Source organism: Homo sapiens, chromosome 10, assembly GCF_000001405.40.
Source record: "Homo sapiens chromosome 10, GRCh38.p14 Primary Assembly".
NCBI lineage: Eukaryota > Metazoa > Chordata > Mammalia > Primates > Hominidae > Homo > Homo sapiens.
In genome coordinates this window covers 89,347,459-89,375,347 of record NC_000010.11, presented here as the reverse complement: position 1 = coordinate 89,375,347, position 27,889 = coordinate 89,347,459, and the positions used below count along the sequence as shown (strand labels likewise).

General features: G+C 42.6%; 1 protein-coding gene and 1 pseudogene across 8 annotated transcripts in view, besides 2 other annotated features; one reads left to right on the top strand and one right to left on the bottom strand.

Annotated features, from left to right (window-relative positions):
- LIPA (lipase A, lysosomal acid type) overlaps positions 1-27,889 on the top strand; it is a 201,108-nt gene that overhangs the window by 39,332 nt on the left and 133,887 nt on the right. The window lies entirely within an intron of this gene.
- Positions 7,270-7,369: an enhancer, noted in NCBI's record as "active region_3746". NCBI's record gives its function as "activates an Ori minimal core promoter by ATAC-STARR-seq in GM12878 lymphoblastoid cells {active_cell/tissue: GM12878}" and the evidence as "EXISTENCE:reporter gene assay evidence [ECO:0000049][PMID:35858748]".
- Positions 11,858-12,751, bottom strand: IFIT6P (interferon induced protein with tetratricopeptide repeats 6, pseudogene; annotated as a pseudogene).
- Positions 23,616-23,715: an enhancer, noted in NCBI's record as "active region_3745". NCBI's record gives its function as "activates an Ori minimal core promoter by ATAC-STARR-seq in GM12878 lymphoblastoid cells {active_cell/tissue: GM12878}" and the evidence as "EXISTENCE:reporter gene assay evidence [ECO:0000049][PMID:35858748]".

Genomic DNA, 27,889 nt, shown 5'->3' with positions numbered 1-27,889 from the left:
TGTGCGCACAAGATGATGTTGCTCAGTAGTGAAGGCCACCTGGAATCAGACTACCTGGGGTCATTAATGGACTTTGCTGCTTACTGGACATGTGATCTTGGGATAGTTGGTTCACATTTCTAAGCCACATTTACTTACCCATGGAATCGGAATAGCACTAGGACTTTCGTCATGGGGTTATGTTGAGATGAAGTGGGATATTGCATGGAAAGCATGTCTCATTTAACAGCATTCAGTAATTGTGAGTGTTGCTTTCACAGTGTGGGACAAGTCCCCTTATCTGTGCAGTCTGTGCTGACCATTAGCTGGAGCCCTTCCAGACTACAATTTTTCCCAGTGGGCACTGAGAGAGAGGTGTTTCATGTCATATCTGACTGTGCAGCTGCTGAGATAGGGGTGTCCTGTTCTGAGCTTCAGGCCAGGGCAATCTACATATTCCCATCTCAGGCTCAGGTCAGGGAGCCCTGGCCATATCTACACATAGAGCCCAGCAGTACCTCTTGGGCAGCAGGCATTCAACCTCTCCCTAGTGAGGATGGACCTGTGTAGGGGGAGAAGAGATTTTGGAATGGGACTCATTTCCTCTCAGCTCTCTCTCTCCAGTTCTGTATCAGATGGGAAGCTTCTAGGAGGCCAATTGTGTTTTCAGATACAAATATCTTCTGTAAGGCACTAGCCCTGAATCAACTCTAAAAGGGATAGAAACATAAGCAAATACTGAAATGAACATTAGGAGAGCTGCTTACACTGAGAGTAGTATGACTTTGGAATTTTCATGCATAAAATTATTGCTAGTAACAGCGTGTCAGAGAAACAGAGTGAGTGTTTGTCATGTGGTCACTGAATTTGGCAGCAGTCCTGGTTCTGTGAGGCTCTGGCTCAACTGATTAGGTATTCAGGATCTGGCCCAGTGTGTCCTTGGATAAATACAGCCATGAACCACACAGGACAGAGCAACAATAAGGAAACAGCCAACACATTGTGTAAGAGAGAGAGAGAGAGAGTGTGTGTGTGTCTGTGTCTACAAATAGGAAAAAAACAATGGAAACTAGAGAGGGAAACTCATTTCTAATGGGCAGGATGCCTACTTGTAGAAATGAAACTTAAGCATTGGAGAAATAAAACTTAACCACTATCAACATTCCAGAACCAGCTCTGTGTTCGACGAACTAGCAGAGTGAACTTGATTTCACTTAAACACTGAGTTTCCTCATCAGGTATAGAAAAAGGTTGGCCTTGAACAGTGGTTTACAACCTTGGGCTGCAAGGTTGTAAAATTCCTTGGAAGTCTTTTAAAAATGCAGATGCCTGAGCCAATCTCCAGCCCAATCAATCAGAATCTCTGGAAGTGAAGCCCAGGCATGAGTATTATCAGTAAGTTTTCTGAAAAAAGTAATCCCAAAGTGATTTTTTTGTGCATGGTTTAAAACCACTAGACTAGATTTTTGCTACTCAGGATATGGTCTGTTACAGTGGCATCCTCAACTACTAAAAGCCCAGAAATGCAGAATATCAGGCCCCTCTACAGATCTCCTGAATGAGAACTTGCCTTTTAACATGTCCAGATGATTTGTTGGTACATTAAAGTTTCACAGATACTTTTCCAAATGATCCCTGGATCCCTTTCAGGTCCAAATGCTTTGGATCAGAGACTAATTCCTAATAAATACCTATTTTCTATGAGGCTCTGAGTCTAGAACTTTATTTTTCTATGCTTTGGTTTCCCCTTGTGCACCTTAATAATCCATGCAATACCAGAAAGGATGTAGGTCAAAGTGCACTGACCTCTACAGAGAGTGTCTGATGTTTGCTTTTGAGACTACTCATGTTTGCAAACTTGCACCAATCATGTCCACAGAGAAAATACTCAGCTACTAGGAACTTCTCTGCTCTGAAAGTCCTGGTAATCTTCATACCACCTCAGGGGTCTTGATGGCTATCTTTGGGCTACTCTGATTTACTTTTCTGGCTGACTCCCACGTGTTCCAGTTTTTTTTTTTTTTTTTTTTTTTTGAGAGGGAGTCTCGCTCTGTCGCCCAGGCTGGAGTGCAGTGGTGCAATCTTGGCTCACTGTAAGCTCTGCCTCCCGGGTTCACGCCATTCTCCTGCCTCAGCCTCCCGAGTAGCTGGGATTACAGGCACCCACCACCACGCCCGGCAAATGTTTTTTGTATTTTTAGTAGAGACGGGGTTTCACTGTGTTAGCCAGGATGGTCTCGATCTCCTGACCTCATGATCCGCCCGCCTCTGCCTCCCAAAGTGCTGGGATTACAGGCGTGAGCCACCGCGTCCGGCCCCACGTGTTCCAATTCTAACTGAATTTCTGTGCTTTCATTGTTTTACATGTCAAATATTCATTCACCTGGAATTGTCTATATAAATTGTAGGAAGCATTTACATCACTGAACTAGACTCAAGATATTTCATAGATCCTATAATGTCTATTGGAAAAGTCCTCAGGTTCCCGGAAAGCAAGTTGTTTTTAGACTGTCTGAAGTATCTTGGGACTTGAAAAGTCCATGTCTATAAAGGAAATGAGAAGAGGTGAAGATGTTTTCTAGATGCAATTGAAATTTAGGATTATACATTGAGCTGAAAAAAGAAGTTCAATGCCATTCCCATGGTTCTGGGAAACCCACAGAGGTTTAAGGAACCTGCGATCCAAACATATTGTTAGCATGGCCAAGGCAGACTTCATTGCTCTAAGCTCCTTGTCCATTTCTATAATCAGCAAGCTATGAATTATCATTAGGTACAGGCCAGGTACTCTGTTGGGACACATAGGGCATGTTTCCTCTTCTCAAGTGACCTGTCATGTAGCAGGAGACAGATTGATAAGCGCTTAATTTGCTTTTAATAAAAACAGTACACATTGGTTGCTTTGAAATAACAGAGAATTGGATGTTTATCTCTTCCTGAGGTTCATGAAAAACTTCCTCAGTTAACTTTTGGTCTTTAACCTGAAGTGTTTGGCAAAATCATAATCCTGTTGTCTCCCCCACTGGAAGAATACTTCCAAGACTGTCTAGTCTGTGAGCAGGTCTGACCCCAAAGGGTCCCTGTGGCTACTCTTGCAGTGTGCAATGATGCTGGCTGCACACACTAGGGGAAAGGCTTTGGTCTAGGACCATAAACCTGTTCTTGTATCTCAAGTCATGGTAATCCTGCAAAAGCAGATAAGACAGAATGTGCAACGGTGAAACTGCCAGCTGACTACCAAATTAGTACACCGGAGACGGGAAGTTTTCTGTGATAGGGGCCTCTATGAGGGGCTTCCTCCTACTCTCTACCCTCAAGTAGGTCCCATATTTGTGTTGTTCCCTTCTTTGTGTCCACATGTACTCAGTGTTTAGCTCCCACTGGTGAGTGAGAACATGCAGTATCTTGTTTTCTGTTTCCATGTTAGTTGACTTAGGATAATGGCCTCCAGCTCCATCCATGTTGCTGCAAAGGACACGATCTTGTCCTTTGGCTGCATAGTATTCATGCAACCAAAATTTAGAATCTTAAATTAGATGGGCTAAAAAGAACATAGATCAACACCCATGTTATTCCTATAGCTCTGAGAATTCCAAGGATGTTTAAGGTTCCAATGGTAAAAATAACTGGTCAGATGGTAGGCGATCTTTACAAGTAGTACTCACAAGCCTCCAAAGCAGCATTCATTGTCAGGGGCTTCTCATCAGTTCAAACGTTCAGCAAACCAGTAATGCTTACCTGTGTTATGCCTGGCATTCTGAGAACACCAGTTGGTAAAACGATGGAGATGCCTCTTCTTCCCCTCCATCACTAGTGGTTTGCTGTCTCGTGGGAGACAGAGACAGATTAGAACATATTTGATTTTATTGTACTAAAACATGTACAGTTTAGATGCTGTGTAAGCACAGAGAAAAGAAATACTACTTTGTGAGGCTCATAGAAGACATTTTGGATCATGTTATTGATCTCCAGCCCTAAGGCAAATAAAGAGTTATAGTTCTGATGTGAACTAAAATGGAGAGTCATGGAATTATCAAGATTCTCCATCTGTAAGCAGGCCACAAGCTTAGCCTTGTTAACCCATATGTCTTAAGCCATATGCATTAAGATCATGAAGTGGCAGTGGCACATGATGTAGGAGTGGCTGGTCTTTCATTAGATACTCTTACCCACCAACTTATCCAGGCTGTCTGTATGAGTTCTGTGATATCTCCTTTTGGTGGGATCTGGCCAGTGCCTACTTGGGCTGATTACTGCTTTAAATGAACAGTTCTCAAATGGGGGCAATTTTGCCCCTGGGGGCATCTGGCAATACTTGGAGAAAATTTTTTGTTTGTTTGTTTGTTTTTTTGAGACAGAGTCTCACTCTGTCACCCAGGCTGGAGTGCAGTGGTGCGATCTCGGCTCCCTGCAGTCTCTGCCTCCTGGGTTCAAGCAATTCTTCTGTCTCAGCCTCCCGAGTAGCTGGGAGTACAGGTGCCCACCAGCATGCCCAGCTAATTTTTGTACTTTTTCAGTAGAGATAGGGTTTTCCATGTTGGCCAGGCTAGTCTTGAACTCCTGACCTCAGGTGACCTGCCTGCCTCAGCCTCCCAAAGTGCTGGATTACAGGCATGAGCCACCACACTTGGCCCCTGGAGACACTTTGGATGATCACATCTGGAGATGTGGGTGCTACTGACATCCAGAGGTCATTGCTGATGCTAAACATCCTATAATGTACAGAACAACCCCTCACAGCAAAGAGTTATCTGGCCCCAAATGGCAATAGTGCTTAGACTGAAAAACCCTACATTAGTTCCAAAAGGACTTTCTGCAATGTTAAAAATGTTCTAGGGTGGGTTGGGTGGCTCACACCTGTAATCCCAGCACTTTCCAAGGCCAATTGGGAAGATCACTTGAGTCTGGGAGTTTGAGACCAGCCTGGGCAACATGGAGAGACCCTGTCTCTACAAAAAATAAAATTAAAAAAAAAACTTAGCCCGATGTGGTGGTGTGAGCCTGTAGTCCTAGTTAGTTGGAAGGCTGAGGCGGCAGGATTGCTTGAGCCCAGGTGTTTGAGGCTGCAGTAAGCCATGACTGTGTTGCAGCACTCCAGCCTGGGCAACAGAGACAGATCCTGTCTCAGAAAAAAAAAAACAAAACAAACAAAAAAAGAAAACATTCTAAATCTGTGCCACCGCTAGCTATATATTACTATTGAGCACTGCAAGTGTAACTAGTGCATCTGAAGAACTGAGTTTTAGATTTTATTTTAATTAATTTAAATATAAATTGAAATAGCTGCATAGTGGCTTCATATCAGACCACCCAGCTCTACATAAAAGCCTGCAGTGTCAGATGCTGGGGGTTCCCCCACACACCTGATGGAAGCAGCACTTGCCTTCGGTAGCACATAGCAGTTTCTTGAGCTGCAGCTTTTATAGCTTTAATATAGTTCATTAAGAAACTTCCTACATTTTCTGGGCACAGTGACCTTTGGCTGTATGTGGGGAATATAGTATGCATTCCTGCTCCAGAGGAGACTAGGAATGCCATTCTCTCTGCCTTTCCTTCCATCCATATATACTGATGAATCTCCTTTTTAAAAAACTCAAAAGATCTGTGTGCTAGTATCTAAGACTTTATATTCAGGGGATAATTTGCTGAGAAGTAGCAGCTGAAGGCAGTAGAGGGCGCAAATACCTCTATATAGGAAACACTTCTATTTAGGAAAAACTCATTAAAAAGCATTATCTGTTGTCCATAGAATATTCTTTTATGACTCTCTTCATTAATCTTCCTCCTTCAGCTATTTCATGAACTTTTTGAAGTTTCTTGATAAAGATAACTCCAACATACCGGTTTTCAGAACTTAGCTCAATGGCTTGGTTCCCAGGGTGGAGAGAGACCGCTTCTTGGCTGCTCACTGCCATCCCCTCCCCAGCTGCCTGAAATGAAAGGGCACAGAGATGACTTTTAATCAGTGTCCAGTAGAATAGGCACAGTCCAGGAGCCCATCCTGGCAACTGAATCTAGAAGCTTGCAGAGGGAAGACGTGGCCTGTGGTCAGTGGTTTCCTCAGCCCAGTGTCTCATTTACCAAGCACTAGTTGGAAGGGCACTTAAGAGACATTCTGGGGCCCCAGAAAGGCAGGAGACTGAGTTTCTCTTCCCTGAGCTTGGAGTGAATGCTTCTTTTGTATGTACAAGAAGAATGTACAAGTAGAATGCTTCTGTTGTGTGTACAAGTTATTCTAAGGAGTTTTTCCTTTGCCGTAGACTGTGGAGAAGGCCATGGAATCAGCACTGCCCATGGAAAAAGATTGACATTGAGCTTAATGAATATAAATAATCCAATCCCTGTGGTAGACACCTGGCAGCTCCAAAGAGTTCCAGAGCCAGGGAGAGCAGATTCGGATGCCTTCTAACCATTTGTGTGTGTGTGTGTGTGTGTGTGTGTGAGTTTTGTGTTTGTGTTTGTGAGTGTGTGAGTTTGTGTGTGTAAGTTTATATGTTTGTGTGTAGTTAAAGTGATGGTCTGGGGGTATGTCTTTCTCTGTCTACTTTGGACTCCTCCAGATTTTTTTCTCCATCCTTAGTAACTTGAACCTGAGTTATAACTAGCACCAAGCCAGGGCCAGAGCAGGAAAAGTGGACAACTTACCTGATGTGTTAGACCTGGCTATTCCTTTTTTCTCTCACCATCTTAATTTTAATTTGCTTTTTGTCACCATGTTTATATCTTACATACATTGAGAGCTCAATAAGTATATTTTAAAGCAAATATTAAATATGTATATATTTTCTATAACCCACTTAAGACAATGGTCCCAAGAGAGCAGTAAGCCCATGAAATCCATCAGCAGAAGAGAGAGCAGAGTTGGTGGGTGGAGAGGCTGGAGAGGAAGAAGGTGATGAATATCTGCTGAGCATGTTTGTGGAAGTCCTCTTTGGAATGCTTGAGACAGCTGGGGACCCTTTCTGGTATTCTGATCTGTTTGGGCTAAAGCTATCATAATTTAGGCCTAACACACAAATGTGATGTAGCCAAAGGCTTGTGAGGTGTGGTGCATATGGATTATACATAGAAGTGTAGCCAGAGTTTACAATAGGATCACTGGGGAAGATTTCTTAATAGCTCTGTGCTAGTGGAATATGAATTCACAAGTTCACCACACTATTTTCATTCTTCCCTCCTTTCCTCCAGGTCGTGTGCCCCATAGAAAGCACTCATATGCAGCCCAATGTCAAGAGAGTCAATCAATGACATTTCAAAATGAACTTTAATAGTTTCTTCCCAGAGCTTTGACAGGCCAAGGCAGGAGGACTTCTTGAGGCCAGGAGTTTGAGACTAGCCTGGGCATAGTGAGACCTAACTCTACAAAAAATTAAAAAAAGAAAATCAGCCAGGCATAGTGGTGCACACCTGTAGTTCTAGCTAATTGGAAGGCTGGGGTGGAACGATTGCTTGAACCCAAGAGTTCGAGGCTGCATCGAGCTATGATCATGCTACTGCAGTCCAGCTTTGGTGACAGAGTGAGGCCCTGTCTCTGGAAAAAAAAAATAGTTTCTGTTTCTGGCACAAAAGAAGTTCATGCTGTACTGAAAACCTCAGTCAGCAGTAATTACCCAAATACACACACAAACGCTCAAAACTCACAGTCACAGTTCTCTCACACATAATAGGTGCTGGTTACTAGGGAAACCAGCTTTGGTTTCCAGCACCAGGGGAAGGTGTGAAGGAGCACAAAGAGATTCAGACTCTCCTGATCAGATTTATGCAAATGAACTTGCCTGTTAGCCAACCCCTGTAAATAATGCCATCTAACTTCTAGTAAATTTTCTATGTAACTTTTAACCAAGAAGGAACAATATGTCCTTTGGTTTCTATAGGCCTAGATGAGCCAGTAATGGGAAACTATAGCCATCTTGTTTACAAGAATAAGAAGTGGTTTAGAAACAATTGCAGGACAGAGCTAGAAGCCAGAAGCTAAGAGCTGTCTGATTGGAGAAGTGTTGTCTTTACAATCTCTAATCAGCAGATCTCTGTCTTTTTTTTTAATTATTATACTTTAAGTTCTAGGGTACATGTGCACAACGTGCAGGTTTGTTACATATGTATTCATGTGCCACGTTGGTGTGCTGCACCAATTAACTTGTCATTTACATTAGGTATATCTCCTAATGCTATCCCTGCCCCTCCCCCCACCCCACGACAGGCCCCGGTGTGTGATGTTCCCTTTTCTGTGTCCAAGTGTTCTCATTGTTCAATTCCCACCTATGAGTGAGAACAGGCAGTGTTTGGTTTTTTGTCCTTGAGATAGTTTGCTGAAAATGATGGCTTCCAGCTTCATCCATGTCCCTAAGAAGGACATGAGCTCATCCTTTTTTATGGCTGCATAGTATTCCATGGTGTATATGTGCCACATTTTCTTAATCCAGTCTATCATTGATGGACATTTGGATTGGTTCCAAGTCTTTGCTATTGTGAATAGTGCTGCAATAAACATACGTGTGCATGTGTCTTTATAGCAGCATGATTTATAATCCTTTGGGTATATACCCAGTAATGGGATGGCTGGGTCAAATGGTATTTCTAGTTCTAGATCCTTGAGGAATGGCCACACTGACTTCCACAGTGGTTGAACTGGTTTACAGTCCCACCAACAGTGTAAAAGTGTTCCTATTTCTCTACATCCTCTCCAGCACCTGTTGTTTCCTGACTTTTTAATGATGGCCATTCTAACTGGTGTGAGATAGTATCTCACTGTGGTTTTGATTTGCATTTCTCTGATGGCCAGTGATGATGAGCATTTTTTCATGTGTCTGTTGGCTGCATAAATGTCTTCTTTTGAGAAGTGTCTGTTTTTTTCTTGTAAATTTGTGAAAAAATTTTTTCTTATAAATTTGTAAAAAGTTCTGGCCAGGGCAATCAGGCAGGAGAAAGAAATAAAGGATATTCAATTAGGAAAAGAGGAAGTCAAATTGTCCCTGTTTGCAGATGACATGATTGTATATTTAGAAAACCCCATGGTCTCAGCCCAAAAGCTCCTTAAGCTGATAAGCAACTTCAGCAAAGTCTCAGGATACAAAATCAATGTGCAAAAATCACAAGCATTCCTATACACCAATAACAGACAGAGAGCCAAATCATGAGTGAACTCCCATTCACAACTGCTTCAAAGAGAATAAAATACCCAGGAATCCAACTTACAAGGGATGTGAAGGACCTCTTCAAGCAGAACTACAAACCAATGCTCAACGAAATAAAAGAGGACACAAACAAATGGAAAAACATTCCATGCTCATGGGTAGGAAGAATCAATATCGTGAAAATGACCATACTGCCCAAGGTAATTTATAGATTCAATGCCATCCCCATCAAGCTACCAATGACTTTCTTCACAGAATTGGAAGAAACTACTTTAAAGTTCATATGGAACCAAAAAAGAGCCCGCATTGCCAAGACAATCCTAAGCCAAAAGAACAAAGCTGGAGGCTTCATGCTACCTGACTTCAAACTATACTACAAGGCTACAGTAACCAAAACAGCATGGTACTTTTACCAAAACAGAGATGTACACCAATGGAACAGAACAGAGCCCTCAGAAATAATACCACACATCTACAACCATCTGATCTTTGACAAACCTGACAAAAACAAGCAATGGGGAAAGGATTCCCTATTTAATAAATGGTGCTGGGAAAACTGGCTAGCCATATGTAGAAAGCTGAAACTGGATCCCTTCCTTACACCTTATACAAAAATTAATTCAAGATGGATTAAAGATTTAAATGTTAGACCTAAAACCATAAAAACCCTAGAAGAAAACCTAGGCAATACCATTCAGGACATACGCATGGGCAAGGATTTCATGTCTAAAACTCCAGAAACAATGGCAACAAAAGCCAAAATTGACAAATGGGATCTAATTAAACTAAAGAGCTTCTGCACAGCAAAAGAAACTACCATCAGAGTGAACAGGCAACCTACAGAATGGGAGAAAAGTTTTGCAAGTACTCATCTGACAAAGGGCTAATACCCAGAATCTACAAAGAACTCAAACAAATTTACAAGATCTCTGTCTTTAGATTTTATCTTTAGCTGTGTTCCAGAAGGAAAGTCAAATCTGCCCCTACACAGAGGTCTGTAGTGGTATTAGGTAAGGAATTCAAGGAGAGGCCAGGAGAGCTCCTTGGAAACCCCATGCACTGGTAATGTTCTTTTGAATAAAACTAATAAATCTCCTCACCAAAATTAGAAAGGAATTCTACACCCATGTCAGCTACATGAAGGGCTCCATATCCTTTCCCAGCCCTTAAATATCTGTGAAATTTGTCAACACTCTCCAATTCTGTGCAATTCATGGAAGGCTAAATGCTTCCTTGATGTGTGTCTTTTATTTGTAGGTAGATGTTATGGCTTCTTCTGCCTCTTATTTCTGCACAGACAGTTTTAGTTTTCTTGCTTCCCACACAGACATGTAAATTCACAGCTTCTTAGAGGTTGCAACAATTTAAAACTCTACTCACAAATTTGTTATCTTGGTTAATTTTACTATAGATTTTTGGATACAGAGAAAGAGCAAAGAGTATATTACACACTACCTAGCACTACTTGTGCATCTCAAATAGGGGGACTTTTTTCACTTTCTCTTTTTGTGATGCAACTTAACTTCCCTTAGGTCAGAATGACTAATTATATATATACTATATATATACATATATATTATATGTATACATATATATGAATACTTTAGAACTATTTCGCTTTCAAGGACTGAGAACTTTCTTAAACAAAGGATTGGATTTGTTATAAAGCTATAATAATTTATATTATAAGGTATCTCAATAGTCTGAAAGTATAGGAGAGAGATGGGCCTTAAGAAGTGAAAATGGAGCTGAGATACTGTGGTGCACACAAGAATCTTTTCTCTCTTTCTGCCCATGTGCTTTGTTTGTAGATCTTCTTGTGGGTCAACATCTTTGCCCATATGAAAAAGTTGACTTCCTGTACTCCCTGAATATAAATCTCCTTTGAACAGCTGACCTAGTAGACTGAAAATGGAAGTTGTCAATTCCAATTGCAAATTCTCAGAAGTCTGATTGGTCTGGCAGGTGCCAGGTACCTAACACAAGACATATCAAGAGTGACAAAGGGGTGCAGTGATAAAGGAGAAGTGCTGATATTGCTGCCACAACCACGTGGATAGGTGTTCATTAGCCAAAAAGTGGGAGTTGAGCTGATGATGCGATGTGTGCCACCAAACAGTTTTATGTTGCTTCCTGTCATGCCTTTTTGAAAGCAGCGATCAGGGAAGATTTATCTGATATTTAGATTTAGATATGATAACATTTAACATCTCAAAAGACAGGGTTCAGGCCAGTAGCCCGTCTCAGGCTGTCTCATAGGACAGCACAGCTTCACTTTCTTTTCCCCTTTCAATGTGTGAAGGAGCACAATGAGATTCAAACTCTCCTCATCAGATTTAAGCAAATGAACTTGCCTGTTAGCCAATTCAGTAAAGCACTAAAATTTTTTTCCTCTAGCACTTGACTGAATTTCTATATTTAGCCACACCCGCCCCCCCTCGCTTTTTTTTTTTTTTTTTTGATGGAGTCTGGCTCTGTTGCCCAGGCTGGAGTACAGTGGCATGATCTTAGCTCACTGCAAGCTCCGCCTCTCGGGTTCACGCCATTCTCCTGCCTCAGCCTCCCGAGTAGCTGGGACAACAGGTGCCTGCCACCACACCTGGCTAATTTTTTGTATTTTTAGTAGAGACAGGGTTTCACCGTGTTAGCCAGGATGATCTCCATCTCCTCACCTTGTGATCCTCCCATCTTGGCCTCCCAAAGTGCTGGGATTACAGGCGAGAGCCACCGCGCCCAGCCCAGCTCTTTTTAATATTAGTCAATTGTGTTAGCTTCAGACTTCCCATGACATTCCTGAAAGGGGCCATAACGATAATAAATCTCTTGCAACAGCTTTTATTAATATCATGCAGGCTGAGTGCTTTCTGGTAAATGTCCTCAACTTTTTGGTGTTCACCTCCCTCTGCATACCTGTTGGCTAGGTCCACATAAACCATTGCAAATGTGGGCCTTTGCTCTACAGCAAATTCAACATGAGATATAACTAATCTTATTATTTTGTCTACAGTTTCTCTATCCTGCCTTTAGCTTTTTTTGTCTGTTTCCTGCAGCAAAGCCCTATCTGGTGATGCAGGAAGGCAGAAGTGGGTGTTCCCTGCAAGGCCATTTTTAAGAGCAGAAGAGCTTTATCTATATTGCCTCTTCTTTGATAAAACTGGGCTGCATATAGAAAAACATAGGTCTGTGAAGACATACTGATTAGAGCTTTTTCAGTGTGCTTTTCTCCTTCAGCTTCCTGTCCTTCATCCTGAAGCTTCAGGGCAAGGATAACCTTAATGTGTGCATCTTTTGGATTTAGACTGACAGCCCATTTTAGGGGGTGCAGAGAAAATGTCTCATTACTGTCTGTTGTGTTAAAACCGTCCAGGCAATAGGCAGTGATGACATACCCAGTGCTGAATTCAGGATTTTCAGGGCCCACCTCTAGAGCCTTTTCAAAGCAGGCCTTGGCCTGTTCATAATTCTTTCCTCCACACTTCGCCAAGGCCCATCCTTCCTCACAGTTCATCTCAGGACACTCCATTCTATAGCGGGAAGCATTTGCAAACTTCTTGCAAATGTTCTCTACCTTATCCAGGTAAGTCTGGGCTTCTGCCAGTCTGCCTATGTGGTGATACGCCCAGGCAAATTTGCCCCAGCCCAGGCAAAGTTGCCCCAGGTCACCTGCCCATGTGATGATACTGGTCACTCATGTCTGCTTGGTTGGTGTGTTCTCATTCAACTTCTTTCTCTAGTGCTTTCTCATTCTGGCCCTTCCAGTGTTTCACATAAGCTAGTATGTTGTGCATTCCCACACTGTACTTTGTGTCCACGAACTGGATCTCTTCCAAGACCCTGTTTTCTAAATCAGAAATTTCAAGGGCTTCAATTAGCAACCCCCATGTAAAGTGACATCTCAACTGCTCAAGCCTATCTTTGACTCCATGATAATCAGCATTTTTACTGTGAAAATAAACAGGAAGTATTTGCGTGATTTTCTGATGGAAATGGAATGCTATCTAATGAAAAGATAGGTAGAAACATTGTTAAATAGTTGGGCACAGTGGCTCACACCTGCAATCCTAGTACTTTGGGAGGCCAAGGTGGGCAGATAGCTTAAGCTTAGGAGTTCAAGATCTGCCTGGGCAACATGGCAAAACTCTAGCTCTACAAAAAATGCAAAAAAAATTTATCTGGGCATGGTGGCACACACCTGTAGTCCCAGCTACTCAGGGAGGCTGAGGTAGGAGGATTGCTTGAGCCCAGGAGGTTGAGGCTGCAGTGAGCTGTGATCATACCACTGCCCTCCAGCCAGGGTGACACACACAATGAGATCCTGTCTCAAAAAAAAAAAAAAAAAAAAAAAAAAAAAAAAAAAAAGGCAGGTGGAGGGTGGGGGGTGGATTTTTTTTTCCCCATAGCTGTTTTCCAGGAGCATAAGGCTTAGGTAAAGCTTAACATTGTCAACGTCATTCCATATTGCCAAGTGTTTGGTGCTGTCCCTGCAATATCCTAAGGAGGAACCATACTAGGCTGTGAAGCCTTAGTTAAAAATTATCAACATCATGATATCAGCAAATGCATTTTGTCTGCTTGAATACTGGCTGAAAGGGATTAAATCTGCCAGTGACTTAGATTAGTTGGAAAACTAATGCAGTTAGATAGGTTTTGAACTCCTCAATGCTATATGACACTTTCGTTTCTCAGGATGCCATAGCAGATGACATGCATCAAAAAAGCAATAATGCTGTCAGGAGAAATGAACCTGGGGCAAGGAGAAGCTCTTTCTCACCTTTCTCTAGGTTTCCAACTTGGTCCATTAAGATTTGAAAACAACTGCTTCTTTCCCCAAGGCAGAAATAGTGAAATAAACATTTCTAGTTTTATTCTTCCCCCTAAAACAAGACGGTGGGCAAAGTGACTTTTCTGAATAAACTCAGTGTCAGGCATGGTCTTCTCCTTTTTCTTACAAAGAATTATTTCTTAGAGTCATCAACATGCCAAAAGAGAATTGGTTAGGAGCAGCTTTTGAGCCAACTACTCCTTTATGCCCAGTCCTATCTATGACATATTGGAGGGTTGAATTGTGTCCACCAAAAAGATGCTCTGAAGTCCTAGCTCCCAGTACCTGTAAATGTGACCTTATTTAGAAATAGGGTCTTTGCAGATATAATCAAAGATGAGCACATTGGGAGGACGCTAACCCAATGTGACTGATGTCCTCATAAGGAGAGGAAATGAGACAGAGTCAGGCACACACGGAGGGAAGATATAAAAACACAAGGAAGGATGCCATGTGAAGAGAGAGCATGGCACCTAAGAGGAGGCAAGGAAGGATGCTGCGGGGAGTTTCAAAGGGCGCATGGCTCTGCTGATACCTTGATTTTAGGCTCTTGGGCTCCAAAACTGAGAGAGAACAAATTTCTGTGGTTTTAAGCCACCCAATTTGTGGTACTATGTTATGGCAGCCCTAGGAAATTAATACACAGAGAAAACATTGAAGCAGGAAAGATCATTGAGATTGACTGCTGTGATCTTAGGGAATCCCCATGTTTGATGGGGAACGAGCCAGGTGCAGTGGCTCATGCCTGGCTCATGCCTTGGGAGGCCGAGGCGGGTGGATCACCTGAGGTTGGGAGTTCGAGACCAGCCTGACCAACATGGAGAAAACCCATCTCTAGTAAAAATCCAATTCTTTTTAAACCATCACTCTTAGCCTCACATGTACCACTTCTAGTCTCTATGGTGCTTGTGTAAATTAGAAAAGAGTGCCCTTTTCTGTGAGTATATGTGTCCCTTGCCAGGACACTTATCTTGGTGAGCCAAATGTAGACTGGGTTTCATTCTCTTCCCTTACCCCTTTGGCTAATGAATAATCTGAACAATAATGCTTGGCTGCCTTGGCAACAAGCAGGAGAGGTTTTTCTTTTGTGTTGATTATGGGTGTGTCCTCCCCAACATGGGCCATCTTTTCCTCTCTAGATTGTGAGCCACAGGCACATTCTGGGGTGAAATGTTATTAAACAGTAGTTGTTACTCTCTAAATAGATGCTAGGCACTTAAAATCCTCCAGGTTCCTATTTCTTTAAAAACTGAGCAAATAAAGGGCAGTAAGATAGTTCATTCTCATATGTTTTATGATTAGGAAGCAGAGAGTCAGGGAACCTGGTTAACAACCCAATTCTGCCCCACTTAGTACATGTGTGAGTTTAAGTAATTAACTTCAATTTCCAAATTCTTCATTTGCAAAATGACCCAGTAAGAGTTATAATCATTCCTAGTTATAGAACTATAGTGAGAATGCTGAGGTAACGCAATAAGAGATCAAGGCAGAGTGAGCTAATTACCAAGCAGAACATAGAACTTAGGCATTAGCATTAGGGTTGGCATTATCATTGTGTGTGTGTGTGTTTGTGTGTGTGTGTGTGTGTGTGTGTGTGAGAGAGAGAGAGAGAGATAGATAGAGAGGGAGATCCAGGCCTTCAGTGGATGGGTGAGAGGAAGACGCCCATCAACCATTAGGTGACACGTGTTTTCCTATGTGAGCTCCCCTTTTGTCAAATTTTGGCATTTCTGGGAGGAGCACCCCACCTTGCCATGGTCTTGAGCCTCTGCGAATAGGAGCAGCTTGATGAGGGCTTCAGTCCAGCATAATCTAGAGGTTCTCCTTGAGGCCCTTCAGGTCAGAGGGCTCTGGACACACCTGAGCATTTTGCTGAAAAGCCTCTTGGGCAGGCTGGCTGCTAAGGCCCTGGGCAGGTCAACCTGGTTTCCTGGTCAACCCCATGTGTAGCACTAGGATTAACATGATTTCGTGACCAGGAATGCAGTTAACAAAAATAGGAACCTCTTAGTAGTGAATCTCTCTCACCAATATCCTATTCCTCAAATACTGCCCTACAGGGCATTTATTTTTATTTTTAATTAACTAATTCATCAATTTATTTATTTTATTGAGACATAATAGTTATATATATTTTGGGGTGCAACAATATAAAACATATGTGCCCCAAAATGTGTCCTCCCTCTCTAAAATATGCCTTAGGCAGACTTTCCAGATTAAGTTGGACTGAGGCCCACATCAAGCTTCCTCTATTCTCAGAGGCCCAAGATCACGGACGGGTTGGGCTGCTCCTCTCCAGCAGTGCCAAAAATGGACAAAAGGGCAGCTCACCTGAGAAAACCCCTGACACCTGCTGGCTGATGGGCATCCTCCTTTGCTCCATTCACTGAAAGAACTGATATTTTGATACATTTATACAGTGTGTAATCATCAAATCAGGGTAATTGGGATGTCCATCATCTCAATAATTTATTTTTTCTTTGTGTTGAGAGCATTCCAATTCTTCTAGCTATTTTGAAATATGCAATAACTTATAGCCACCCTACTGTACTATCGAACACTAGAAATTATTCCTTCTATTTAATGACATTTTTGTGCCCATTAACAAACCCCTCTTTATCTTCCCTCCCCTCTACCCTTCCCAGCCTTTGGTAACCAACATTCCACTCTCTATGTCCATGAGATCCACTTTGTTCTTAGTTCCCGCATATGATTGAGAATGTGCAATATTTGTCTTTCTGTGCCTAGCTTATTTCACTTAACATAATGACCTCCAGTTCTATCCATGTTGTTGCAAATGACAGGATTTCATTCTTTTTTATAGTTGAATAATATTCCACTGTGTCTATAAGCTACATTTTCTTTATTCATCCACTGATGGACACTTAGTTTGTTTTTATATCTTGGCTATTGTGAATGGTGCTCCAATGAACATGAGAATACAGATATCGCTTTGATAACTTGATGTCAATTTTTAAAAATATATATCCAGCAGTGGATCACATAATAAATCCATTTTCAGTTTTGGGGGGAAACGTCATACTGTTTTCCATAGTGGCTGTACTAATTTACATTCCCACCAACAGTATATAAGGTTCCCCATTCTCTGCATCCTCATCAGCATTCATTATTTTTGTTTTTTTGATAGTAGCCATTCTAACCAGGATGAGATGCTATCTCACTGTGGTTTTGATTCTGCAGGGCATTTAATGGCCTTCCTGGGACTGTGGCTCAGGCGGCCAGATTATCTTCTCACCACATGGAGGAACTAATAGAAAGTGGTCTCTGTCCTTCCTGCAGACCTCTTCGCAGCAGGCAGTTACAGGTATTTAAATGGTGGAAGATGCATCTGAGAATAGGGTCCTCTTTTTTTTTCTCAGTTATCCTTCTCCTGACACTATATCAGATGAAAAGATTCTAGCAAGTCAGTCAGTATAATGTTGAGAAGAAAATACTTTCTGCAACTTACCAGCACAAAACCAAACAGGAAAAGAGGAATGTGTACCTTTTGAATAAGATATACCTTAATTTTGGTTAGGTTTTATATTTCCTAACATCTGTTGAAAAGATAAATCTTATTTTAATGGTTATCATCACAACAAAACCCCAAGCATTGATGCTTTCAAATAAAAATTGAACATAGCTACCTTTAAAATTCTTTTATTTTACTACCTACCTTTGAGTGATCCATCTTAGCCTGAATAGATTAAAACTCACTCCTCCCATCATCCTGTCTCATTCAGCTCCTCTCAAACCTCAGGTCAGTTTTGTCTGGTTTGCAATTCTATGAACATCGCTTGTGATGTTTTCATTCGGTTAGAATTATGACACAAATGCAATGACTTTTACTGTTAACACAACTTTATTTTCTTTCTGGGTCTGTGTCTGTTAACTTAGTAAGAAAGCATAATAGAAGAGTTAGAAAGTTTGCCTTTCTTAGGAGGAGTCTGCAGGGAAATTTGCATTCTAGAAAAATACAGGAATTTAAAAATATGCTAGAAACAAAAGTCCAGGAGCACCAAGAGGTTGACCTCATAGTTTCTTGAGAGACACAGTTGCTACATAGTGCTTGGTTCCAGCTGAGAGGCTCCTCAGGTTTGTCCTGTGTCCTTTGGTGCTTCTTAGGCAAGTGAGGGGTTTAGATTCAGGGAGGATTTCCTGGTGATCTTGTTTCCCATGTAAATAGCACTGCTATGGTATAATACGAAATATCTCCTTAGCCTTTGTCCCTGGTTCCTGTCACAGAGCTTCTAAATTCCTTGGAATTTCCAACAGTGATAGGAAGCATGTTTTCTTATTCATAACAGACCCCTTTCAACCATGCCTGAGTTTATGTTAATGAAGTCACACTACTGGGGGCCCCTAGATAGTTCATTATGTGGGCTGGTTGCCAAAAAGACCAAGGCATGATTAGAGGGTTGGAACTTTCAGCCCCATCCCCCAACCTCTGGGGAGGGAAGAAGAGCTAGAAAGTGAGTTCAGTCACCAGTGGCCAATGATTCAATCAGTCATCAAAATCTTACCTATATATTGTGAACCTCCATAAAAACCCCTCAAGCAGCAATCCCCAACCTTTTTGGCACCAGGGACTGGTTTTGTGGAAGTCAGTTTTTCCACAGACTGGGCAGGGATGGTTTCAGGATGATTCAAGCACATTACATTTATTGTGCACTTTATTTCTATTATTATTACATTGTAATATAAACGAAATAATTATACAACTCACTATAATGTAGAATCAGTGGGAGCCCTGAGCTTGTTTTCCTGCAACTAGACGGTCCCATCTGGGGGTGATGGGAGACAGTGGCAGATCAGCAGGCATTAGATTCTCATAAGGAATGCGCAACCTAGGTTCATCGGATGCAGAGTTCACAATAGGGTTCGTGCTCTTTTGAGAATCTAATGCCTCTGTTGATCTGACAGGAGGCGGAACTCAGACAGTAATGTGAGTGATGGGGAATGGCTGTTAATACAGAGGAAGCTTTGATTGCTCGCCTGCTGCTCACCTCCTGCTGTATAGCCCAGTTCCTAACAGGCCTCGGACTACTACCAGTCTGTAGCCCAGGGATTGGGGACACCTGCTTTAAAGGATGGGGTTCTGAGAGGTTTTGAGTTGGTGAACACATTGAGGTGCTGGAAGAGTAGCATCCCAAGCAAAAACATGGAAGCTCCATGCCCACCCTTCCTCCCCCTACTCACCCCATACCTTGCCCTATGCAACTCTTCCATTTGGTTGTTCCTTAGTTGTGTTACAGGAAAGGGGTCCCAATACAGACTCAAAAAGGGGGTTCTTGGAGCTCACACAAGAAAGAAATCAGGGCAAGTCCACAGAGTAAAGTGAAAGCAAGTTTATTAAGAAAGTAAAGGAATAAAAGAAAGCCTACTCCATAGGCAGAGCAGCAGCATGGGCTTTTCAACTGTGTATACTTAAAGTTATTTCTTGATTATATGCTACACAGGGGATGGATTATTCATGAGTATTCTGGGAAAAAGGCAAGCAATTCACAGAATTGAGGATTCCTCCCACTTTTAGACCATATAGGTTAACTTCTGAATGTTGCCATGGCAAAATGCCATGGCGCTGATGGGAGTGTCTTTTAGCATGCTAATGCTAAATTATAATGCTAAATTTAGCATTATAATTAGCATATAATGAGCAGTGAGGATGACCAGAGGTCATTTTCATCACCATCTTGGTTTTGGCTGGCTTCTTTACCGCATCCTGTTTCATCAGCTGGGCCTTTTTGACCTGTATCTTGTCCTGACCTCCTATGTCATCCTATGACTAAGAATGCCTAAGCTCTTGGGAGTGCAGCCCAGTAGGTCTCAGCCTTATTTCACCCAGCCCCTATTCAAGATGGAGTTTCTCTGGTTCAAATGTCTCTAATAGTTGTATCCTTTATAATTTCAACTGAAGAATAACAAACTTCATAAATTTTGAAAGGAGAGCTTTATTTCTCATAAGGGGATTGCAGCCTTCAGGCTGAAACCATCTTTGCAAAAATTGTATCAGTGAGAAAATTATGACAGGGAATGAGATCTGAGCTAACTCACCAACCCCCATCTTGCCTTTCCCATAATTATTTCTGGGCTATTGGGTTGAGCTAACTTTGGAAGACATTAGATTATAGTTTAAATGGTAATAGGCTGTCCCCCAAACTCAACCACTTTTGTAAAGCTAATGAGAGTCCCTTAGGCTGTGGGGAGGAGCGGAGACTGAATCCTACTAGGGGGCAGACATAAAAGTTTGATAGCCGTTATTCCTGAGGTTAAACAATTCACAACTTCCCCAATTACTCCTGCAAATAACAACACTATTGTAGGACCCTAAAATTGGCCTTTTGACACATCTTTTCAGGTTTTTTGCATGTCTGATACCCATGGCTCCACCTGGACCCACCTGAATCCACCAATCCTCCTCCTGTGGCCCCATCCAGAAGCAATTCAGCATGCAGGAGGACAGCTTCAACTGTCTATGATTTTGTCTTTGCCCAACCAGTCAGCAGCAAGCCTAGCCACCTCCACACTTTGAAAACCTTCTAACATACACCGGGCATGGTGGTGCACACCTGTAATCCCAGCACTTTGGGAGGCCGAGGCAGGTGGATCACAAGGTCAGGAGTTCAAGACCAGCCTGGCCAAGACGGTGAAACCCCATGTCTACTAAAAATACAAAAATTAGCAGGGCGTGGTGGTGGGTGCCTGTAATTCCAGCTACTCGGGAGGCTGAAGCAGTAGAATTGCTTGAACCTGAGAGGCAGAGGTTGCATTGAGCCGAGATTGCACCACTGCACTCCAACTTGGGCGACACAGTCAGCCTCTGTCTCAGAAAAAACAAAAACAAGAACAAAACTTCTAACTTATGAGCTTTGAAGGAGAACGACTTGAATACGAACTCCATCTCCTACATGGCATGACTAGTCTTGTGTCTGTCAATGAAAAGAGTCAAACTCTAAAATATTTGAAGAGATTTATTCTGAGCCAAATATGAGTGACCAATGGCCCATGACATTGCCCTTAGGAGATCCTGAGGACATGTGCCCAAGGTAGGGCACAGCTTGGTTTTATACATTTTAGGAAGACAGGAGACATCAATCAGTACATGTAAGATGTACGTTGATTTGGTTCAGAAAGGTGGCACAACTCAAAGTGGGAGCTTCCAGGTGATAGGCGGATAAGAGACAAAAGGTTGCATTCTTTTGGATCTTTGATCAGCCTTTCACTGAATACACAATTTATATATGGTGGTGGGGTAGAGGAATAGTCATTTGGTTAGCAGCAGCAAATCCATACAGTTCTGCAGCAACCTTAATTCTTGCCTCCTTAGAAGAAAGAAATCGACTGAGGGGAAAAGGCAAAGAGAGAGATTGAGGCAAGTTTCAGAGCAGGAGAGAAAGTTTATTAAAAAGTTTTAGAGCAGGAATAAGGGGAAGTGAAGTACTTGAATGCACTTTATATTCTTTTTTTTTTTTGAGACGGAGTCTCATTCTGTCACCCAGGCTAGAGTGCAGTGGCGTGATCTCGGCTCACTGCAAGCTCTGCCTCCCTGGTTCACAACATTCTCCTGCCTCAGCCTCCCCAGCAGCTGGGACTACAGGTGCACGCTGCCACACCCAGCTAATTTTTTTGTATTTTTAGTAGAGACGGGTTTTCACCATGTTAGCCAGGATGGTCTCGATCTTCTGACCTCGTGATCTGCCAGGCTCGGCCTCCCAGTGTGCTTTATATTCTTGACCTTGAAAGAGGGCCAAGTGGGTAACTTAAGAGATTCAAGTGCATGGTTTAACCTTTGACTTGGGGTTTGCAAGTTGGCATGCTTCTGGGGTCTTTCGTTACTTCCTTCACAATTTGCCCACAAGGAAATTCTGGGGTCTTTTGTTATTTCATTTAACCTTTGACTTGGGGTTTGCAAGTTGGCATGCTTCTGGGGTCTTTCGTTATTTCTCCCCTGTTTCTTCCCTTGGGTTGGGCTGTCTACATGTGCAGGGATCTGCCAGCACTTGGGAGGGGCTGGGGCTGCATGCTCAGTGTGTTTACTGAAATTGTGCACATGCTCACTTGAGGCATTGTTTCCCTACCAGTCAAGTGTTCTAGAAGAAGTTCATATACCAGTTAAACTCTGCCATTTTGCCTCTTAGTGCACATGCTTGAGCCCACTTGTCCAACTCCTGAGATCTTACTTGGAAGGTGCTGATTACCAATTTCAGGTATTTCTATTGGGAGATGGCCCTTCCCTGGCATTGGCTTCAACCAATTATCATTTTAGGGACGGTTTAACAACTGCCTGACCATCACCTGATGGTTGCCTGGTAGGAGAGGAGGCCCTCTCCTGCCCTGTTCATGTCTAACTACCTACTCTAACAATTTATGCCTTAGTCTGTCTCAGTGAATCGGCAGTTTTACATGAACGATAGGGCAGAGGAAGCAACCAGATAGGCATTTGTCTCAGGCGAGTAGAGTTATGACTTTCTGTCCTGTACTGGTGAAGACAAGCTATCAGTTTATGTTGCTAGGGTAAAATTCAACAGAACTGTTTTTAGGGTAAAGATATTGAGGCCCACAAGGAATTTCCTTATGGACAAATTGTGAAGGAAGTATGTAGCTTTTTTTTTTTTTTTTTTTTTATCTTTGTAGTTATCTCATTTAGGAATAAAATGGGAGCAGGTTTGCCTGATGCAGTTCCCAGCTTGACTTTTCCCTTTGGCTTAGTGACTTGGGGGTCCCAAGATTTATTTTCCTTCCATGTGTCTATTAAAATTTTCTGTACCACAATGGCATGGTCTTTGTGCAGTGGGCAGGAAAAAACCCTTGGGCAGTTACAAAGCTAGCCATTCTGACAGGCTGGAAAGCATAGCCTCCAACCAGAAGCCACAGGCACTTTGTGGGAGGGAAGACTAAGACAAAAATTGTTGCTGAATGAGGTGTCCAAATACACATATTCGATAAGCTATAGGAGGAGTCATGAATATTCATGAAAGGGAAAATATGCACATGTGCAATTGAGCCTCGTGCCTTTCCATGAATCATATGTACAAAAAATGGTGGTGTTAGCGTGATCCATGGGTGGAGTTTTTGGCCTTCTTGTGTCAAAAGGTGAGGTAGAGGACATGAAAACCCGCACTGCCCTTCCTCTGTGATTGGGCCAAAACTGGACTGGAGATAGAGGTCAATTTTTAGAAAGGGTTGCCTTGTGAAACTGGCGAGCTGTCACATTGAAACTGCAAAGAGGGAGGGGGAGTCGAGCAGTGGCTTCAGATGATTGGCTAAAGGCAATAAAGGAATGTGTCCTCTATTTCTTGTTTTCCAGAGCTGGTTTCTGCTTACTCCTTAGGAAAGAATTCTGGTTAAAGATTAATAAGGAAGGGGTGTGTCTGACTTTACATTCCATCGTGGCCGGGCACTCAGTTTTTAAGGTTTCCCTGGGGTCCCCGTGGCCAAGAGGGGGTATATTATGTTCAGTTGCTTGTGGGGCTTAGGATTTTATTTTTATTTCTCAGACGTTGTCTCCAGATGGAGACACACTGAGTTTGAAAAATCAATTTTTAGTTGCTAGAGAGCCCTTGTGATGTCAGATGTCTGAATCTTTAAGGCTGATGATGTTCCAGGGTGATGCGCGTATTTTTTGAGTGGGTCAATTAAGACTCTAAGCCTGACAAAATAAAAAGGGCCTGGGAAAGCATTTCTTGTCCCTTGGACTTGGACCATGGCTCTCTGACTCTAAAGTATCTTGGTTTTGTTGCTGCAGGAAGAAAAGAAGCTGTCTCCTTTGAAATCCAGAATTCACATATTCTAATTGCCTGTTCTGACTCTAAACTGAAACCTGTGGCTGCCTGTTGTTAGGTGGTTTCAGCCTTAGTTTGTGTTGTGCTGAACTGAAAGCAGACATAGGCTCTGTGGACAGAACTCAGATTCTGGGATCCTTGCAAATCACTGCTCTGTGGAGCCCTAATTTATAAAATCGTCATGGATACTTTTTGGGCTTTTCTGGACTATTTGGATTTTTCTCTGATTAGGCCATCTGAAATCCAGTTGCTGATTACATATTTATGATTGTAGGAGAGGAAAAAAACCATTCTGTGCATTAAAGATTTTTATTGAGACAGGGTTTCTGCTCTGTTGCCCAGGCTGGAGTGCAGTGGCATGATTACAGCTGACTGTAGCCTCAACCTCCTGGGCTCAAGCCGTCTTCCTACCTCAGCCTCCTGAGTAGCTGGGACTACAGGCATGTGCCACCACACCTCGCTAATTTTTGTATTTTTTATAGAGACATGGTTTTGTCATGCTGCCCAGGCTGATCTCAAACTCCTGGGCTCAAGTGATCCGCCCACTTCAGCCTCCCAAAGTTCTGGGATTACAGGCGTGAGCCACTGCGCCTGGCTCAGCAAACATTATTTCCTCTTCCCGTCTTAGGTTCATAGGCTGGGGCCCTACTGAAACAGAAATTAAAAGAAATGAAAGAGTGTGTAAGCAAAAACTCAGTTGTATGTAAGAAAACCCAACTCCCCCTGAGAAAGAGAAAGAACTGGAGTCCTTTAAAAAATTAACTGCCTGTTTTTCTGTGGCTAGTAAGCCTTATCTCTCCTCCCTTCCCAGGCATTGTGAAGACTCTGTTTCCCTAGCTATGCAACTGCAAGTTCACTAGACAGATAAACTCAAGTCGCAAAACATGCTTTTCCTTAAAAAGTAAGAAATGATGTAATGCATGTCTCAATTGAATAACTGCCTTTGTTTCTCTCTTCTGTAGTATCCTTCCCCCTGCACAGATCTCCCCCCAACCCCCTGCAAGAAATGCTTAAAAGGTAACTTCAGGCCAGGCACGGTGGCTCACACCTATAATCCCAGCAATTTGGGAGGCTGAGGTGGGCGGATCACGAGGTCTGGAGTTCGAGACCATCCTGGGCAACATGGTGAAACCCCTTCTCTACTAAAAATACAAAAAATGAGCTGGACCTGGTGGCATGCGCCTGTAGTCTCAGCTACTCGGGAGGCTGAGGCAGGAGAATCGCTTGAACCTGGGAGGCGGAGCTTGCAGTGAGCCGAGATTGCGCCATTGCCCTCCAGCCTGGCCACAGAGCAAGACTCCGTCTTAAAAAAAAAGGTAACTTCACTCTTTGTTCAGGGCTCAGTCCTTTAGATGTTAATCTGACTGGGCCGGTGCACCTAAATAATTAATAAATATCATATCCTCCTGAACCCCATCAGTCTCTTCACACCAGAGAACTCAGTGATGAGCAAGTGAAAGAAGTGGCTAGAACTTCAGACTTATTGAGCATCTTAACAAAATAACAATACATTTGTAGAGAAGTGGCCAGACAAAAAAGAAGGAACTTTGAACTTTGAGGGGTGTCAAATTGTGCAAAGACAAATATTTGGGGAAACTAATGGTAGATGAGGGCTAGTTACTAAGATTTGTTTGTGTAGACTTTGTCCAGTGATAAGGTTGTTATCCCGTTTCTTGAATGGAAGTAGGGGTTGGGGATACCATCACAAGAGACGTTTATATTCTGCTTTCAGGCAGACAGAAGTAGGGCAGACAACTCATCCTGCGTCTGCTTTTTTTCAATTCCCTTTAACTCAAAATAATTCTTATGTCAAAATGGCATGTTTTGGGGTGGCATAGTCTGAGCCCCTTCATGATACAGAGGCTAATTGCATTACTGATTTATAATCCCTGTTGAAAGCTGTAAGTTGGAGGAGGACACATCACAGGGAGTGTAACCCCTCCAACCACTCCTGACAGACTGGACTCTCCCCATCTTGAGACTATCTCATTGCTGTTGACTTGCTCTTTTCAACTTTCCCAATTAGTTTCAATCTGTGAAAATGATCTGACAGCCTGAATCTACATCCCTCACTTTTGTCCTAACACACACACACACCTTAGTAAGGTAGGGGGAGGACACATTTTCCCTATATCTTTTGAGGGCTTGATAATTGAATCTATGAAATAAACTGAAAACTGGCAGATTAACAGAACAAAAGGTATACAAACTTATTACGTGCATGGGGCATCATATGAAAGGAAAGTTAACGCCCCAAACCCAGTGAGATCAAGAAGCTTATATACCCTCTTTTTAAAGGAGAGGGGAGGGGAGATGTAGGCAACTTACTTAGGGGGAGTAAATTGTTTTGATGAAAAATGAATGGGCCCTCAGAAGAATATGTGACAGCCTGTGACGAAGTCTGTCTGGACACGGGGTCAACCTCCAGTGTTCTCTCCAGTGAACCAAGTTTAATCTTCCTGGTTGATAAGATTCCCTGGGAAGGGATTCATGACATCTGAGTTCCTTTTGGAGGGTCTATCTTTATGCAGATAAAGGGAGCTCAGAGAAAATCCTGTCTTGCATTTGCTATTTCTCAAGTGCCTTCATTTTGAAGTCCAAAGTGATATATTTTGGAGTGGCATTTCCTGACCTTAGAAGTTTGATTATTAAATGCAATTGACCCCAGAAAAGGATTACTAATTTCTAGGCTCAGTGTATAATTTGGATGAAAGAGGTGGGAGTTTATGTTAGCCAATTTTGAAAGTTTTTGAAAATTCAGGATTTCATTCTGGACATAAGATGGAGCAGGGACTCCTTCTTAGTGGCCTGCCAGGACCCCCACGCAGGCATGGAAATAAAGGAAAATCTCAAGTTCCTTCAAGGGAAATTCCAGGCACTACCGGGCCCTGAGAAGTAAGTTTGCAAGCTGATAAGCAAGAAGGTAATAATAGCTTACAACAACAGCCAAGGAAGTTAGAGTCAGGTGATGTTTGGTTCTCTATAGAAACCAAAAATAGGGTCTTAAGCGTGAGCTGCGGGATTCTCCTTGCATGGCAACCCGCAAACAAATGCCCTCCTTTCTCTTGTTGCAAAACCCCACTGTGGGTGTTTGGCTTTACTGGGCTGGGCAAGTGGACCCCAGTTTTGTTCAGTAGCAGACAATGTGAGCATGATACCTCTTTATGCTTAAATTGCATGAAAATGTTTTTTTGGTGAAAGTCCTTTTGTCCTTTTTGTATACACTTTTTCCAGTTGAAAGATCTGCGTGAGAATGGGATATAACTGAACAAAAATATATGATTGCTGAATAGGACTCTCTGACTTTGTCGCAATGGAAAAAAATAGAAACTCAGCCCCCAGGGAGGCATAAAGGAGAGGAAGTCATTAACAATCTTTTTGTTTTTCAGAACTGTTCCTGGAAGATTTCCCTTCTGTCTGACGGAAATCTTCCCACGCTGTCTTTCCAAACTCCTACTTAATGCTTTGAATTCAGATTGCTGAGCCTCTGAGCACAACAGACAGCACTGGGGTTGGAGGTGGGGATCCACTCTGGAACTTTCCATCCAGAAAACCTCAGATGTCTTCCTCACTCCTGTGTTTGGAACTGATAGCTTGAAGGCAGTTCCTCTGAAAGCAAGGACTTCAGTGTATTTTTTGGACTGGGATGGAAACCTTACGGTGGTAGGCCTCACCATGGAAGGCCACATGGTGGGGGTTGTAAACCTGTACTGCCTAAGGCATGTCCCGCTTGGGCTGCCATGCATGTCCTCTGGGATTGTGCTTTGTGTCTGTGTGTACCTGACTGTCATGACACTGTCTCAGCCCAGGAAGGTGATCAGGTCCACTTTACTTTCCTGGCCTCAGCTGTGATGTGCCACCAGGTTAAAAGTTTAATATAGACATGTACGGAGGAAGCTCTCTGGACTTCTAAGATAGACCTTTATAATTAATCAGATTTGTTTAAGCTGGCTAAATTCAGGATCCTTAAAAGAGGATAAATACTGAATGTATTGGAAAAAACTGAGATCAATACTGACAGAGATCCTAGAAATAATAATTTTACTATAAAGTTGCCTTGCTAAGGACTAAGGGGATGGACCATGCAGAGTTAGCATGGCAAGTTTGAAACTGTTATCTTTAGAAAGACTTGCTTGCAAGGTTGGCCCTTGGCTAACATCAGGGAACTTGGA